Below are 17,018 nucleotides of genomic sequence, written 5' to 3' on the forward strand. Positions count from 1 at the left end.
GAGTGATTTATCTTTTTTTATCTTTTTTGGCTTGTAAATAGTAATATGGAATTTACATCTATGTTTGTTATAGTGAAGAAAACTTAAAATGCAATGTATAAAACAAAAATAAAAGAACGGTGATTCTGGTGAAAAAAATGTAAAAATGTTCATTAAATTCTTTTGAACCACATGTAAACAAATCTAATTATTAACTGCCAAGAAAACATCAGAATAGCCCTAGGTGATTGATAGCCCTTACTATCTTCTAGAATGAAGAGAGAGGGAAGAGGAAGCATTTAAGAAAATACACAAGAAAGAAATGTGAGGAGAGGAGAAAGGCTTGAACATTGCTAAATAATCCTACCAGAGAGAATTTAATGACCTAACAGCAGCATTCCTTCCACCATCCATGATCAAGAAATGAGGGATTATAAGAAAAAGTAATCCTCCTAATTTATCTTTGACAAATTTCATGCTTAAGTAAGATTTGGGTTATTATTATTTTTATTTTGTTTGGGGAGTGGGGGTTCCACAGGAAGCAAGGGCAGGATTGAGGTTCGAAACCTGGGCTAAAAGAGGCTTCCTGAGTTCTAGCCTATTCCTCATCTTTTACTCATGTTAAAAATCACAAGGATCAGTCTATCATTGATGGGCATTTGGGTTGGTTTCAAGTCTTTGCTATTGTGAACAGTGCCGCAATAAACGTACCTGTGCAAGTGTCTTTATAGTAGAATGATTTATAGTCCTTTGGGTATATACCCAATAATGGGATTGCTGGGTCAAATGGTATTTCCAGTTCTAGATCCTTGAGGAATTGCCACACTCTCTTCCACAATGGTTGAACTCATTCACACTCCCACTAACAGTGTAAAACCTTCCCTATTTCTCCACAGCCTCACTAGCATGTGTTGTTTCCTGACTTTTTAATAATTGCCATTCTAAATGGCATGAGATGGTATCTCATTGTGGTTTTGATTTGCATTTCTCTAATGACCAGTGATGATGAGCTTTTTTTCATATGTTTCTTGGCCACATAAATGTTTTCTTTTGAGATATGTCCATATCCATTGCCCACTTTTTGATGTTTTTTGTTGTTGTTGTTTGTTTTTTTCTTGTAAATTTGTTTAAGTTCCTTGTAGATTCCAGATATTAGCCCTTTGTCAGATGGACAGATTGCAAAAATTTCCTCCCATTCTGTAGGTTGCCTTTTCACTCTGGCGATAGTTTCTTTTGCTATGCAGAAGCTCTTTGCTTTAATTCAATCCCATTTGTCAATTTGGCTTTTGTTGCAATTGCTTTTGGTGTTTTAGTCATGAAATCTTTGCCCATGCCAATGTCCTGAATGGTACTGCCTAGGTTTTCTTCCAGGGTTTTTATGGTTTTAGGTTTTACATTTAAGTCTTTAATCCATCTTGAGTTAATTTTGTATAAAGCATAAATAAGGGGTCAAGTTTCTTTTTTGTGCATATGGCTAGCCAGTTTTCCCAGCACCATTTAATAAATAAGAAATCCTTCCCCTATTGCTTGTTTTTGTCAGGTTTGTTGAAGTTCAGATGGTTGTAGATGTGTGGTGATATTTCTGAGGTCTCAGTTCTGTTCCATTGGTCTATATATCTGTTTTGGTACTAATACCATGCTGTTTTGGTTACTGTAGGCTTGTAGTATAGTTTGAAGTCAGGTAGCATGGTGGCACATGTATACCATGGAATACTATGCAGCCACGAAAAAGAATGAGTTCATGCCCTTTGCAAGGATATGGATGAAACTGGAAGCCATCATTCTCAGCAAACTAACACAGTAACAGAAAATCAAACACCACATGTTCTCACTCATAAGTGGGAGTTGAACAAGAAGAACACATGGACACAGGGAGGGGAACATCACACACCAGGGCCTGTTGCAGGGTTGGGGGCAAAGGGAGGGAGAACATTAGGACAAATACCTAATGCATGCAGGGCTTAAAACCTAGATGACGGGTTGATAGGTGCAACAAACCACCATGGCACATGTATACCTATGCAATAAACTTGCACGTTCTGCACATATATTCCAGAAATTAAAGTAAAATTTAAAAAATTTGAAAATTTTTAAAAAAGAAATAAGTCAATCTGAAAAGACTACATACTATACTATTTCAACTACATGACATTCTGGAAAAGGAAAAATTATGGAAACATTAAAAAGACCAGTGTTATCAGGGATCTGCTGCAGAGAGAAAGGGAGAGATGAACCGGCATTTTTGGGGCAGTGAGACTATGCTGTAATGGTGGATAAATGTCATTACACATTTGTCAAAAGCTCTAGTATATACAACACAAAGATTCACTTTACCATAAAGGACAGATTTTAGTTAATAATAATGTATCAACATTGGCTCATCAATTGTAACAAACATGCCACACTAAGGTAGAATGCCAACAGGATAAACTGTAGGTGAGGCAGAGGGGAGTGAGGGGTATACGGAACTGTACTTCTGTAAATCTAAAACTGCTTTAAAAAATAAAGTCTAGTAGTTAAAAAAGAATGCACTAATAAAGAACAATATGAATAAAAAACAAAATCACAGGGATCAGATAAATGTCTGCTCTGACTCATTCTTAGTGTTATTTTGCAAATTACATTATGAATGTGAGTTTCAGAAATGTAGTGGGTTCCTACTGCAGGGTTTTTCTAGACATCCAAATGTATACAGCCCATCACTGGGTTGTGATGACTGGACTTACTCTTAGGAAAGAGTTAACAGAAACCTTTGTCGGAAGTGGGCCTTCAAGTACCACAGAAAGATTTTAAATGGGGTTTGAAGTTGCCCAATTACGGCTTTTAAATGAATCAAAGACAAAGTCTCATAATCTTCTTAGGACATGGTCTGAGGCTCTTTGGCGGGAAGAAGATGAGAACAAAGAGCAACGGCTTCTCTATATGGATTATTAAGTAAGAAATAGCACCGGACATCACAGGCATCGGAGTAAACAAGCTCTGTTCATCCCTTGTCTTGATTTCCTTTTTGGTTTTGTTTTTGTTTTTTTCAAATGAATCCAGAAAATGCACAAAAGGCTTTCACTTCAAGGGAGTTGAAAGAATGTCCTTTGCCTCTTTGTTGCATTTGGCCTTTGTTCAGTGGACAATCAAAGAAGCAGAGATTTTTTTTCTTCCTGAGCATTAAATTTCATTTCTCTAAAATAACTATTAAAAATTTAAATCTCTGAAAAATAAGTCTAAAGAAACTTAAGTTTTGTTTTTGTGAATGTAATTATAAATCCTAAGTATCTGTATAGATTCCAAGTATAATGGCTTCAAAACATGAGCAAACTCTCCCCAACCAGAATGGCCAGCTTGTTTTGCATACTTTCTGGGTGAAAACTGCCTTATGTATTAGAAGAAGCCGACAATTACCATACAGAGAGGGAGTGTCTATCTATTCTTTGAAGCCATATCTTACATAAAACTTGCCTTTTAAAAGGAGTAATAATTTCAGTAGTAGTGACCTTTCCCTGTCCCAAACCTCCCCATGGCTTTGTTTACTTCCTAAGACATTTTATTTGACCCTATGATTTAATACCCATTTCTGAGGAAAACAAATGAGTAATGAGCATACATCACCATATATATTATCAAGTATTGTCCTACAAATATATTCTGCCTCTCTCTCTGCCTTTTTTTTGGAGTTGGTGGGGAGATCAAGCTAGGATTTCAACTCAGACAGTCTAACTCTGCAACTTGCTTTGTTTCGTTTTGTTGTAGTTTGAAGTTTTCCCCCCAATTTTTTATTGTGGCCAAATACACAAAACATGAAATTTACAACCATAGCCATGTTAAAGTGTCCCATTCACAGTATTAAATACATTCATGATGTTGTGCGGCCACCACCATCCATCTCCAGAACTCTTTTCATCTTGTAAAAGTGAAACTCTGCACCCATCAAACAAAAAGCCCCCATTCACTTTTTCTTTAGTCCCTGGCAACCACCATTCTACTTTCTAGCTCTATGATTTTGACTGCTCTAAGTACCTCAGACAAGTGGAATTACATAGTTTCTGTCTTTTTGTGACTGGCTTATTTCACGTGGCATAATGTCCTCAAGATTCATCCATGTTGTAGCATGTGGCAGATTTTCTTTCCTTTTTAAGACTGTAAAATGTTATAGCTGCTATAAAAAAGTATGTCTGTTCTTTAAAAAAGTAAAAATAAAATTGCCATATGATCCAGCAATTCCACTCTGAGTGTATACCCAAAATAATTGAAAGGAGGGTCTTAAATAGATATTTGTATACCCATGCCTATTATTCACATTAAAAAAAAAATGGAAGCAACCCAAGTGTCTATGGACAGATGAATGGATAAGTAAAATGTGGTATTTATATACAATGAAACATACATAGTCTCACAATTTTGATAACAACTCCTGAGAAGTCTTAGCATCCCCATTTTACCAATAATGAAATCTCAGGGTTACAAAGTTTAACTCTTATAAAATCACATAACTAGTAGGTGTCAGAGTCGGGACTTGGACTAGTTCTATCTTTATCTGTAACAATAGCAATCATTTTACTCTTTTAATCTAAGGGTGGCAACTATGTCTTATATTCACAGATCCTATCATCTATATGTCAGTTCTGCCAGGATCTTTGCTATGGAAATACAAGTGGTGCAAAACGATGAGATTTCCATACACTAAATGCTACTAAATACTAACAGAACATGGGAAGGCTTATACATATCTATGTTTAAGTAAAGAACATGTAAATGTTGGAAGCCTGCACCACCCAATTTAATTGAGCTAAAATATAAATATTTTCTTACCCAATAGCTTACTAAATCACTTGGAAAAAAAGGCTGTTGTCATTTGCTTGTTTGTTTTTGAGTGATTCTCTTCTTGTGCTCTACTTAAAAAAGAACATGGCATAGCACAATGAGCATGGGATTTGGACAATACTTGATTTAGGCTGCAATAAATTAGTCACTTACTCTATGTGTATTTTTGTGTAAGTTATTGTTTTGCCTTAATATTATTCACCTTACCTTCACATGAGAATGACAATAATTGCTTTACAGGGTTATAATGAGTATTAAATGAGATAATGAATAAAAAGCAATCGATGCTGAATACATGAAAGTTTCACAGTTTATAAATTATAGGAACCCTTTGTACTAATTTTTAAGTACAATATAAAATTCCAGTTTTATGCTATTTTCAAATAATATGTCTCCTCTTGTAGTTTGAATAATCATGTTTTATATGTTCCTGGTGCCTGCTACAGTAAATATCACATGGGGTTATTAAATTACTACTAAATAAATTTAGTGTCACTAGACTTCAATATTGCCTTGAAAGGGGAAACTTTTGAGATAATGCCTCTATTGCCACCAAAATAACTATCTCCGTCCTAGTTATTTTTCCCCCATTGGCTTTGACAAATCCATGCTGGGGCATTAACTCACTACTTAGAGTATATATATCTTACTTTCTCAAAATTAAGGGGCTTTACCTTGGATCAGATTCTCCAGAAGCAGACCCTGAGATGAGTCATTTATTAAGACAGTGCTCCAAAGAGAAATCGATAAAATAGCAGGGAAGACAGGAGAAAAAAAAAGAAGCAGCCAAGTAAGGATGCAATTTTAGGCAGAGTCTCAGCCTCAGCCTAATACCTCAGTTAGCTCTGAAGTATAGATTACATATTAAAATTCACCTAAACTCTCTGAGAGAAAGCCGGGCTTTTATAGTCTTGAACCAACCTCCTACTGGATTTGAGCTGTCTCTGATTCGAGGAAGGGGGATTGTAAACAGCGAAACAATTCTAATTTCTGTGCATGCATTCAGAAACCGCTTCAGTAGCCAATGACAGTCAGATAAGAAGTTTGTAGGTACAAAATAGAAGACACACAGATTGCCAACAGGCACACAGATCAGGTAAGAAGGAACAGAGGAACCATGAACAGAGCACTAATAATGTCTACTACTGACCTCAAAACAGACCTCAGTTTGTTCCAGTGTCTGTTTCATGATTGCTTATGGAAATTTCATGATGAGAGTCCCAGACAAAGTTTAACACTAATGTGTTTTTCTTTTTTCCCCCTGTTAAAACTCATCCTTTCAGGGAAGAGATCAAACCCTAACAAGAGGGAAAAACTTTGGTGTAGAAATACGTGGAGCTTTTGAAAATTTACAGACCAGAACCATTCATCTGTCTAGACATACAGGTTTATACTAAGACCAAACCTGCTCTGTTCCAGACTTCCTGGGCTGGTTCACATGGCAATGATACTCCTAACAAAGTTCACATGGGTTTTCTTGGTTTTCAAAGTCTTTTTCCCTTTATTATCCTAATTGAGCCTCTCATAGTCCTGAGAGTCTGCCAGGTCCGGTATTAGTGGTTACATTTGGCAGCCAGGGAAACTCAAGTTCAGGGAGGTGATGTGATTTATTCAAGGTTGCAAAATAGTGAAGTGGAAGAACTAAGTCACGTATTTATCATATTGTCTTCAAATCTAGTTTTCTTTCCTTTTATATGTTAGCAAGCACGAATGTCAGCTCAAAACATTATGTGTCCACAAATACAACTTCATAGTTTCTATTGCATTTTCATTTTTAGCTCTGATGCCAGTCCCCATAGGCCAGTGAAATGGATCCAATAAGACATAACTAACTTCAGTTTCTGTACAGTCTGCCATGTCCCCATCATTTCCTCTCTCAAAATATTTAGCAGAGATTGGTGCACTGATGAATAATTATTTATATTCTCATTGGTCATTAAGCTCTGTGATGGCAAAATCTTGACTGGATGCATTTTGTTGACTTTTGAAACCCTACTTCCTATCTCCATGCCAGGCACAAGATAGATGCTCACTAGGAAACTGCTGTTGAATGAAGCAGTAGATCAAGGCCATAGCAGAACATCAATAAACATTAGCTCTCATTCATCCCCTTATTTCCAAGCCCCAAGCCTGTTCCAATTTCTGCCTCATATTTATCTATGGATATTTTATCACTTCAGGTAATGAATCCTTCACCTAAATGTTACTTCCCGAGGTCATTTACAACAGTTTCATGAGGGACTAATATTCCTTGTCCTGGCCACTCTCTTCATGACTCAATTTGAGGGTATTTTTTTCTTTTTTAATTTCAACTTTTATATTAGATACAGGGAGTACATGATTTTGTTACATGGAAATATTGTGTGATGCTAATGATTGGATTATGAGTCCCATCACCCTGGTAGTGAGCATAGTACCTGATAGGTTGTTTTTTAACCCACCACTCTCCCAAGCAGTTTTCTTAATAAAGCTCTCTTTCATTCATTTGTCATCCCATTAACAGAGGGTAGGGTCAGGGGTTAGAAAGTAAAACAGCAACCAATGATCGGGTTATATATACATATATGAATGTCTAACTATCAGTGACACACAGAATAGGATTTTTCTTATATCCATTTCATATATAATAATAGTTTACCTATTATATAGCAGAGAGAATGGCACCATGCTGACTTAGACATAAGCTCTCTCCTTGAGGAAAATACATTCTAGAAAAAAATAAACGAAAGTATACAAAAATAATTTTAAGAAAATCTGTCAAGTGATATTGTATGATATGTCCTGTGACTATGAACACTAATAGGATGGGCAAGTAGTTTACTGTCACCATAGCCAAAGATGATTTCATACCCACTTCTAATCTAAGCCCCAGCTCCAAAATTTAGTAACTGTTAAGCAGTAAGTAAGGTATGGATGATATCTCTGCAAGAGGAAACTGCATGAACAATGATACTCGGGAGGCTTTAAAAACTGGTGATGAGTAAGCTGAGTTTAAAAAGATGAGTGGGCCAGGCGTGGCAGCTCACACCTATAATCCCAGCACTTTGGGAGGCCGAGGTGGGTGGATCACCTGAAGTCAGGAGTTCGAGACCAGCCTGGCCAATATGGTGAGACCCATCTCTACTAAAAATACAAAAATTAGTCAGGCTTGGTGGCATGATCCTGTAGTCTCAGCTACTTGGGAGGCTGAGACAGGAGAATTGCTTGAACCCAGGAGGCAGATGCTGCAGTAAGCTGAGATGGCGCCACCCAGCCTGGGTGACAGAGCAAAGTTAGACTCCATCTCAAAGAAAAAAAAAAGAAAAGATGAGTGGACATTAGCTAGTTAGGTAAATGAAGAAAGGGCCGAGGAAATGGGGAAAGGGGAAGCATAGGATGTAACGGTGTGAACGGGAACCATGTGGGGTTCGTTGTTACTGAAGTTTGAATTAGAAGGACAAGCTGTGACTGGAGTTAAGGCTAGAGGGGAACTTAGGTGCTGGGCCTGACAGTTTGCATTCCACGCTAAAGAGTTTGAACTTTATCTTGGGTGGCGGGGAGTGGAGTTGTTGTTCATAGCCTGATTTTCCAAAATCTTGGTGAAGAATCCATAGAGTTATTTTGGCCATGAAAAGACTAATGTTCCAAACCTCTCTCTCTCTCTTTTTCTCTCTCTCACACACACACACCCCCAAAACACACATGCATACACACACACACACACACACAAATACATAATCTCTTCCCAGTACATAAAGGACTTTCTAGTCTTATTGAAGTTCAAATAATTTCAACATACACTTAGTTCTTAAGAGAAAATAAGAAAGAGTAGATATGCAAAAAAGACTTGAGATGATGCAAAATCAAAGGTACAAATATAATTGTTGCGGGTATTCACAGTAATATAAAGAAGGAAAGGGTGTGTTTAAGTGGAGAGGTATGCTAGGAAGGTATGTTTGAGGTTCAGGTAAAGTTTGTCTGTGGCTGGAGCACAGGTAAACTGGCCCAGTAGGTGGGACCATGTTTACTGTCACAGGTAATTTTGTAATTTTCTTGAAGAAGTAGGAGAGGAGAGGTTTTCAGAAATTTAAATAGAATAATGATAAAAGCACGGGTTTGCATTATAGAACGACTACTTATTTCAAGCAATTTGGAGAATGGGTGCCCTGTTAATTGACTGGAGGCAGAGTGCACTAAGTGTGCCCTCAAAACAGTCCATACTAGAGATAATTAGTTTTGAATTAAAATAAGCATGAAAAAAAATAAGCATGAGGGGGGACAATATTTCTCACATACGTTGAAGAAAAATTAGGCCGAGTATGGTGGCTCACACCTGTAATCCCAGTGCTTTAGGCGGCTGAGGTGAAAAATATCTCTTGAGTTCAGGAGTTTGAGATCAGCCTGGGCAACATAGCAAAACTCCATCTCTACTAAAAATAAAAATTAAAAAAATTTAGTCCCAGCTACTCAGGAAGCTGAAGCGAGAGGATCACTTGAGCCAAGAGGTTCAAGGCTGCAGTGAGCTATGATCACAGCACCGCACTCAGGCTGGGCAATAGAGAGAAACCCTGTGGTTCAGGGAGTAAAGAAAAAAAAAAGGAGGGGAGAGGAAAGGAAAGGGAAGGAAAGGGAAGGGAAAGGAAGGGAAAGGAAGGGAGGGGGAGGGGAAGGGGAGGTGAGGGGAGTGGAGGGGAAGGAAGGGAAAAGGGGGAAGGGGGGATGGGGGAAGGGGAAGGCAGGATGGGGGAAGAGGAAAGGGGGGAAGGGGGGAAGGGGGGAAGGGAAGGGGAAAAGAAAAGAAATTAGCAAAATTCAGAAATTAATTTAATATGAGGCTATTTAAAGAATATCACAATAATGTTCAATTTGGTAGCTGGATTGCCTGTGTGGGACTCCTTATCAAGATACATAGCACATGGAAGACCCCTTTAAGTTACGTTTTTAGGCTATTTTAGGGTGTATAGTATAGTTTAGTGCTATTGCGTTTCTGTCAGACTAAGGGCCCAGTGGATAGAATTTGCCTTAATCCAGTCACCCTTTCCCTCTCTTGATCTCCCAGGGAGAGATATCATGAAGACATGCTCAGTGGGAAACCCTGTGTCACTTTCTTCTTATTATATGAGAAAATACTGATTGCAGAACTCTGGAAAATGAGGAAGGGGGATGTGCTTTGTACATGAGGTAGAAGGTGAATTACCATTGCCTTAGTTTGGGTGACTATAACAGAATACTATAGAATGAGTGGCTTAAACAACAAACATTTATTTCTTACAGTCTAGAGGCTGGAGGTCTGAGATCAGGATGCCAACATGGTCAGGTTCTTGAAGAGGGTCCTCTTCCTAGTTTATAGCTAGCTGTCTTTTCTCTGTATTCTCACATAACAGAGAGAGAGAGAGAGTAGGCTTTCTCATGTCTTCTTTCATAAGGCCACTAATCCCATTATCAGGGTTTTACCTCATGTCCTAATTGTCTCTGAAAGGACTCTTCTCCAAATACCATCACATTGGGGATTAGAATTTCAATATATAAATTTGCAGGGAGCACAGACATTCAGTCCATAGCAACCATTTCCCTAAATCTAAAGTTTAACCTAATCATGTCTCTAGAACTTGAGACCACTGCACAGCCAGTGCACAGGCTAGAGGGAGAGAAAAGGGAGTTATACATTAAAGAAGATAAGAAATAAGAAAATAAGAAATAATAAGAAATAAGTTAAATATTTGATGGCTGTGCCTGATCTGAGAGAGAGTCCATGGTAAGAGATAGCACTAGGCAAAGCCACACTGGATGAACTTCAAACAAAACAAATAAGCAAAAGAAAAAAAAAAAAATTAAAACAAAAACGAAAACAAAAGTATTATGACAAATAGTGAACTTACGAAAAGCAGAAAGAATATTATAGTGAATCTTAGGGTACTTATGACCCAGTTTTAATAGTTATCCAAATAAGGCCACTAGTATTTCATGTGCCAAGTCCTATACAATTATGTTGTTGAATATCCAGGACAGCAAATAAGTGTACCTTTAAGCTCTCCAGTATGCATATCTAAGAAATACCTCTTACCTACAGTGACATTTCAGTCTCTTGGAATTCTGATCCAAAAAGATAAGTTAGATCCTTCTCTTTGGACAAGGGTAGGATGTGGCGATAACCTTTTCATTCTTTCCCCTACATCCATACAGGACATCCAATAGTACATTACACCTGGAACTTGTGACTTCAGCTTCACCTCAAATAATTTGAAATCAGCATCCAAGTCTCACAATCACATTGTAATGTTGCAAAGAAAAGGAGCACAGGATTTATATGACCTTTTTTTTTTCAGAATAATTTATAGGCCTTTGCAAAGCAAAGTTTTTCAGAAGTGAAAGATTAACCACAGTACATTATCTTAAAATTCGGAACAAAACAAAACAAATTTTCAGTTCTCAAGCCTGTTAGATTTTCCTCTGCCCGATGTCACAAGTAAGGTCTTGCCTTTCTCACACCTAGAGAATTAAAGTGGAGGAGGAGGAGAGGCCAGTGAGGAAAATGACAGTGAAGAAATGAAATCCAGAGTGGTTGAATATTAGGTTTTTAGCTCCTGGTTCAATGATCCTGGAGCAGATTTGGGCAGAGGCCACCCCCAAGTCATGCTGAACAATGTAATTCTTCTATATACCTATGACAGATCTATCTATGAACAACTGAAGCAGTTCTGAGAAGTAATAGGCATTATATTGGCAATTATTATAATCATTATTATAAGGATAATCTTAATTCTCCATGGATCTGTAGCACATTATGGTGTTTTTTTCACATTTTAAATAAATCATTCATGACAAATTTAATAACGACAAAGTGAATAGCTGCTCCCTTGTCACGAAGTTGGAATTTTCAACATTTTAAACTGGGGCTGTTTGTACTCTAGTGATAGGTACAGTGTGTCTTTTCAGGACTTTTATAGCAATGTGAGACAAACCCATTCTCTTTGATATTAGCGGGAGTAGATTAATCTCCCTGAGAAGAACAACCACTAGTGAGAACTTCTTACATGAGCCATTTCATTCAACCCTCACTCATTCCCATGAAGGGGATATTAATATCAAATTTTACAGGTAAAACCCTGGCCAGGTTAGACAATATCACCTAGAGAGCCTGGCTTAACATCTCAATTGAAGTTACTCTCTTGCTACACATTTGATGTTCTCTTTGAATATCAATGTCTTCCTCATAGTATTCTTTCTGGGGGAATAATCTTCTTCCTTCTTCTCCTAGCTAAATCCTAATCATACTTCAGGTACTGACTTCTATATTACTTTGGGGAATACTTTCTAACCTCCCCTCTCTGAAGCTTTTAGATGCATGCTTTTAATGCTTTCATATCTTTAGTAATTTTGTTTTCATATTAAAAAATAAAACTCCAATAATCCTCTTCTACTTAACCGAAATATTAGTTTAATCAACAATGTACATTTTCTGGGGAAAAAGGCATAGACGAACAGACAATAGACTATGATATCTTGACATTTTCCTGCTGCTACTTACAGTGCTTTTTTATTCAAATAAGTTGCATTTGTTTCCAAAATTCCTTATTACATTTGTATTTTTTACTACAAATATTTATTGTATTTTATTGTGTTTCTGTAATATTTTATCAGAGCACAGAAAGAAAGAATTGATGCATTTTTGAAAACAAAATGGAATATTTTATAAAGAAGCAATGAAGAACATTGCAAAAAACTGTTCCTACTTTGGGTGAGCATGAAGCAATATAAAAAAGTGAGATAAATTCCAGATGGATGATATACTTATTTTACAAGTGTAAGTTTTCATCCCGCTTTGATGAAGCTGAAATCAAAAATTGAATTATGTGTAATGCATTATGTGTGAGAATCGTGTAATAAAGGCAAGTTTGAATTCTAATCAATAGGCACATATTCCAAAAAAATGCATTTTCCTTATATCAAAAGACTGATGAGTGGATATTTATATATTTAAATTAAGATTGTTCTTTAATTTTTGAATACTCATTTTGATCCTCAGCCTACCATGTTTTTAGTTTTGCTAATCATATCAGTCAGGGTTCCTGCAGGAAATGAATAGAACAACAAGGATGTTTTAATTAATGAGAATTTAATGAAAGGCTGTTTGCAAAGGTATGAGCCAATTTAAGGAAACCAACAATGGATACATCTAACTTGTGGCAGCAGCAGGATGCTTTTCTCATCCTTAGACCTAAAGGGAAAAGGAAATAAAATAAAGTTATAGAGCTAGGCAAGATATGGAACCTTGCAAAGAGAAGCTACTTAAAATAGGAACTGTAGCACCAGGTAAAGGGATGCAATCCTTGCCAAAACCGGAGCTATGCAGAGAGAGAGATGAGAAAGGAATACCCTGACTTCTCTTTCCTCTGGCTCTCCAGGCTCTGGCTGTTGGCTCCCATTGATCCAAACTCAACTGGTGTCCAAAGGAGTCTGGATAATGCAACCCACAGATACCAGCCCTCCAGGGTCCTCAGTAAGGCAGAAAGGATGGAAATGTATGTGGGTGATAAAATAACCAACCCACTGAACAAGTACCAGTCTCTAACGCGACAGACAAGTCGTTTTCCACTCAATTCATTTACCATCTACCTTCTTTTTTAGATTGTAAAATGAGCTCTGGAAAATGAACAATATCCTCAGCTTCTTATGAGCTAGAGTGAACATAACTAAACACTTCCCACAGTGTGGACATCACTCAAAGTTTGTTCCCTTACGAATGATTTGGAAGGAATGAAATCTCAAGTTTAAGATGGAATTTACTTTTTCTTTATTTTTATTTTTGTGCAAGATCAGCATATAAATTGGTGACAAGCAGTGGTTTAAGAGATTAAATTTTGTCCATCATTTAGTTTCTGCAAACCCTGAAAGACTGACTTGCTAGAACTGATTTTGTTTATCAGCAGCATGTATCTTATTAGAACTGTTACCCTGATGGGAGAAGCATTATTGCTAAGGCCCTCAGCTGTACGGTCCCTTCAGTAGAAAAGTTAACTTAATTAGTTCTCAAGACAATACTACATCTTCTGTTGTTCATCACTTTTTCCCTTTCATCTTCTACAATCCTATGCTAATTTATTTTACCATGCTCACAAAATAGCTCCAAAAAGTAAATTACATACTCTCACCACGCGGTTGATTTATAGTGTTTTCCTAGAAGAAAACAACTCATGTAAAACTCTGAGAATTAGCCATCCCTATGTTATTTTTCTCAATATATTTTATCTTCTCTCCTTTGTAATAGCACTGTGTCCATTCACTTATATATGTCTCTAAGCATTAAGGCCTCAAAAAGTATTTTTATGCCTTAGATTAGGTAGAAAGTTAACAAATTTGAAAAATTTGTTGAAAATAAAATTGAATGGGTTGGGAGACAGATTTTAGTAGACAGAAACTGTTAGACCTAAAAGATTATCTTACATATATTTTGTCCAAACCCACTATTTTTAAGTCAAGTGTCTGAGGCTCAAAAAGGGGAATTACATTGCCTATAATAATACAGAACCCCATATGGAAAATTCACTTCCTCTGACAAGTTACAGTGGCAGGATTTCAAAATTGTCCCTTTCTAGCTGGGTTCTTTCATTTCCAGATCCAACTCTCCGAACAGCAACCAAGGTACAAGCATGGGCTTCCTTTGACAACATGCTATTTTACTGCAATGTGGAAATTTGAAGCCAGTTTCTCCCAGTCTCAGGTTACTGTAAGCACCTCTATTTCATCTTTTTCTTAGTGATCTAACAGACCAAAATAGATTCCCTTTTATCAATTAAGAGCAACCCTAAGGTTAAGGAAATAAAAGTTACCTACAGGTTGAGGATTCAGGAACCGGCTGGCATGACAAATTTTCAAATTCCTGCCACTGTAAGAAAAACCACACCCTTGCTAAACTCCCTAACAATAGGAGTTAGCAGGCTGATTTGCAACCCAGACCACTACAACTCTTGATTTTATAGGGGCCCAGCCCTTACAAACTTCTCCTCTCCTCTGTCCTCCCTTTTCCTTATCTCCCCTCTCTTCCTCTCCTCTCCTCTGCTCTCCCTTTTCTGGGACAGAGACTCACTTTATTGCTCCGGCTGCAGTGCAGTGTGGCATGATCGTAGCTTACCGCAGCCTTGTCCTCCTGAGCTCAAGTGATCCGTCTGTGAGCCATCCCACCTGTCCCCCTTATAAACAATCTTTTCTGATAAGCTATTACAGACTAGATTTTAAGCCAATTGCAGTCAGCAGCTGCACTGAAAATGTCTTTATGTCCTATATTTCATTATTGACTTAATGAGCCAAATGGCACCCCATTTTAATGTTAAATCTCCATCACAAAGTGAACATGGGATATATGTTATATATGTTTACCCAATGCGCATGCACTTGGCTCCCCTCCTAAATATGCATAGCTTTTTCTGAAAACCTGCTGAATATGTGTAACACCAGCCAGCGCTTTGAGGCATAAAACCCAACCTCTCTCTTCCCCTCTTAGAAGAGAGAGAACCTTCAGTTCACACTGGAGATTTTCTCTTCATGGCTTCCAAACTGATATTCCCAATAATGCTCCCCTCCTACTATTTAACCACCAAGATAGTCTTTTTGATGACACTTTTCTATCTCAGTGTTTTCTTACATTTTAAAAAATCTCCCAAACAGTAAGCAGAGTAGTAATACAAGGTGCTAAACATATAGCATTCTGTGTAAAAAAAATGATAAAAATAAAACATTTATTCCATGTCATATATCCATGCCTGAGGCTTTTTTCACGATACTTCTTCGCTGATTTTTTTTTAGCATCTTCCTACAAGTCAAATGAAGTTTCATGTTATATATTTAAGGAAAATATTGAAAACAAATATAAAATAATTTTATTTCTATCACTTACTTTGTGTGTTATTAAATGAGGAAAATGCTAAAACAAATAACATAGGAAAACCCAAACCTCAGTCATGTGGAGCACAGATGCCATTTCCACAAAATCAAATGCCTCAAAATAGTCCTGACTTCTTTACAATTCTAAGGATTAGATCAGGGACTTCTGACTCCCCTTTGTTCCTCCACATTGTGTTGAGAACTATAGAAACAAGTGTTTACAAATTGTTCTTTTATATTTTCTACTTATCTAAACCCCCCAGTTGGGAGTTTGAACAACAGAATTACAGGAAACCAACTCTGGCAGCTAAGCATGCCGACATAATGTCTACAATATGGGGAATGACAGTAGGGGCGGAAATCAAGAACACTGGAACTGGGTCCAGAGAGGCAGTGCTTGCAATGGGTGAGGCAGGGAAGTGAGGGAGGCCTGGAGGGGAGAGGTGGGGGGCTCAGAAAGTGGTTAGAGACTAAACTGCCCTCTCTGAAGCTTTAAAAGTATTAAGGCTCTTCCTACCTATGGCCTTAGTTTCTGGGTCACGTTTTCTCTGAAATATCCATGATTTTCTTAATTGACAACTATTTAAGAAATCAAATAAACTATCTTTAAAATTAGTATCAAAACAACACACACACATGCACACACGTGTGAACAGGTAGCTCTTCAGAGGAGTAATGGCAAAGAAGTTTCATCTCAGGTGGTGATGCAGAATCGTCGTTAAGTGGTAGTAGGCACAGCTCTTTTGAGAAAGACTCTAAAACTACTCACAGAAATTATGGGTGTGACACACACACACATACATCCACTCGCATACAGGTGTTTTACAACAGTGTTAGTGTTAGCTGTCTAACACTTGCCTGGCATGGACTATGTTATGTTACATATGTTGTCTTATATGCATGTATGTTTAAGTATTTTCCTTCATGATATATGTCTGGCATGATCTTAAACACTTTGCAAATATAAACCTGTTTAATTCTCCAAACAACTTATAAGGTAGGTATTATTATTTCAATTTTAGAGGTGAAGAGACTGAGACATCCATCCAAGGCTACATATTTAGGAAGTAGCAGAACAAGATTTTGAGTGTGGAGACAAAGCTCCAGACCTTACAGTGCTGATCACTCTATGAGACTGCCTCTCATAAACCAGGATTTCAAGAAATATTTATTGAGTACATGCCTTGAGCCATGCTCTACTTTTGGCACCAGGATAACAATGATGAATCAATCATAGATCCAATTCTCCTGATGCTTAATTCTAGCTGCAAAGACAGGGATAGATAAATGAGCCGATACATGACAGGATTTCAGATAAAATATCAGACAGATCAAGAGAAGAAATACAATAGAATAATGACAAA

General features: G+C 37.3%; 1 annotated feature.

The window, feature by feature from the left end:
- Window positions 15,669-16,170: an enhancer, noted in NCBI's record as "NANOG hESC enhancer chr16:61652273-61652774 (GRCh37/hg19 assembly coordinates)". NCBI's record gives its function as "activates a minimal SCP1, AML or CMV promoter by ChIP-STARR-seq in naive H9 embryonic stem cells {active_cell/tissue: H9 hESC(naive)}" and the evidence as "EXISTENCE:reporter gene assay evidence [ECO:0000049][PMID:30033119]".

Source organism: Homo sapiens, chromosome 16 (assembly GCF_000001405.40).
Source record: "Homo sapiens chromosome 16, GRCh38.p14 Primary Assembly".
Classification (NCBI taxonomy): domain Eukaryota; kingdom Metazoa; phylum Chordata; class Mammalia; order Primates; family Hominidae; genus Homo; species Homo sapiens.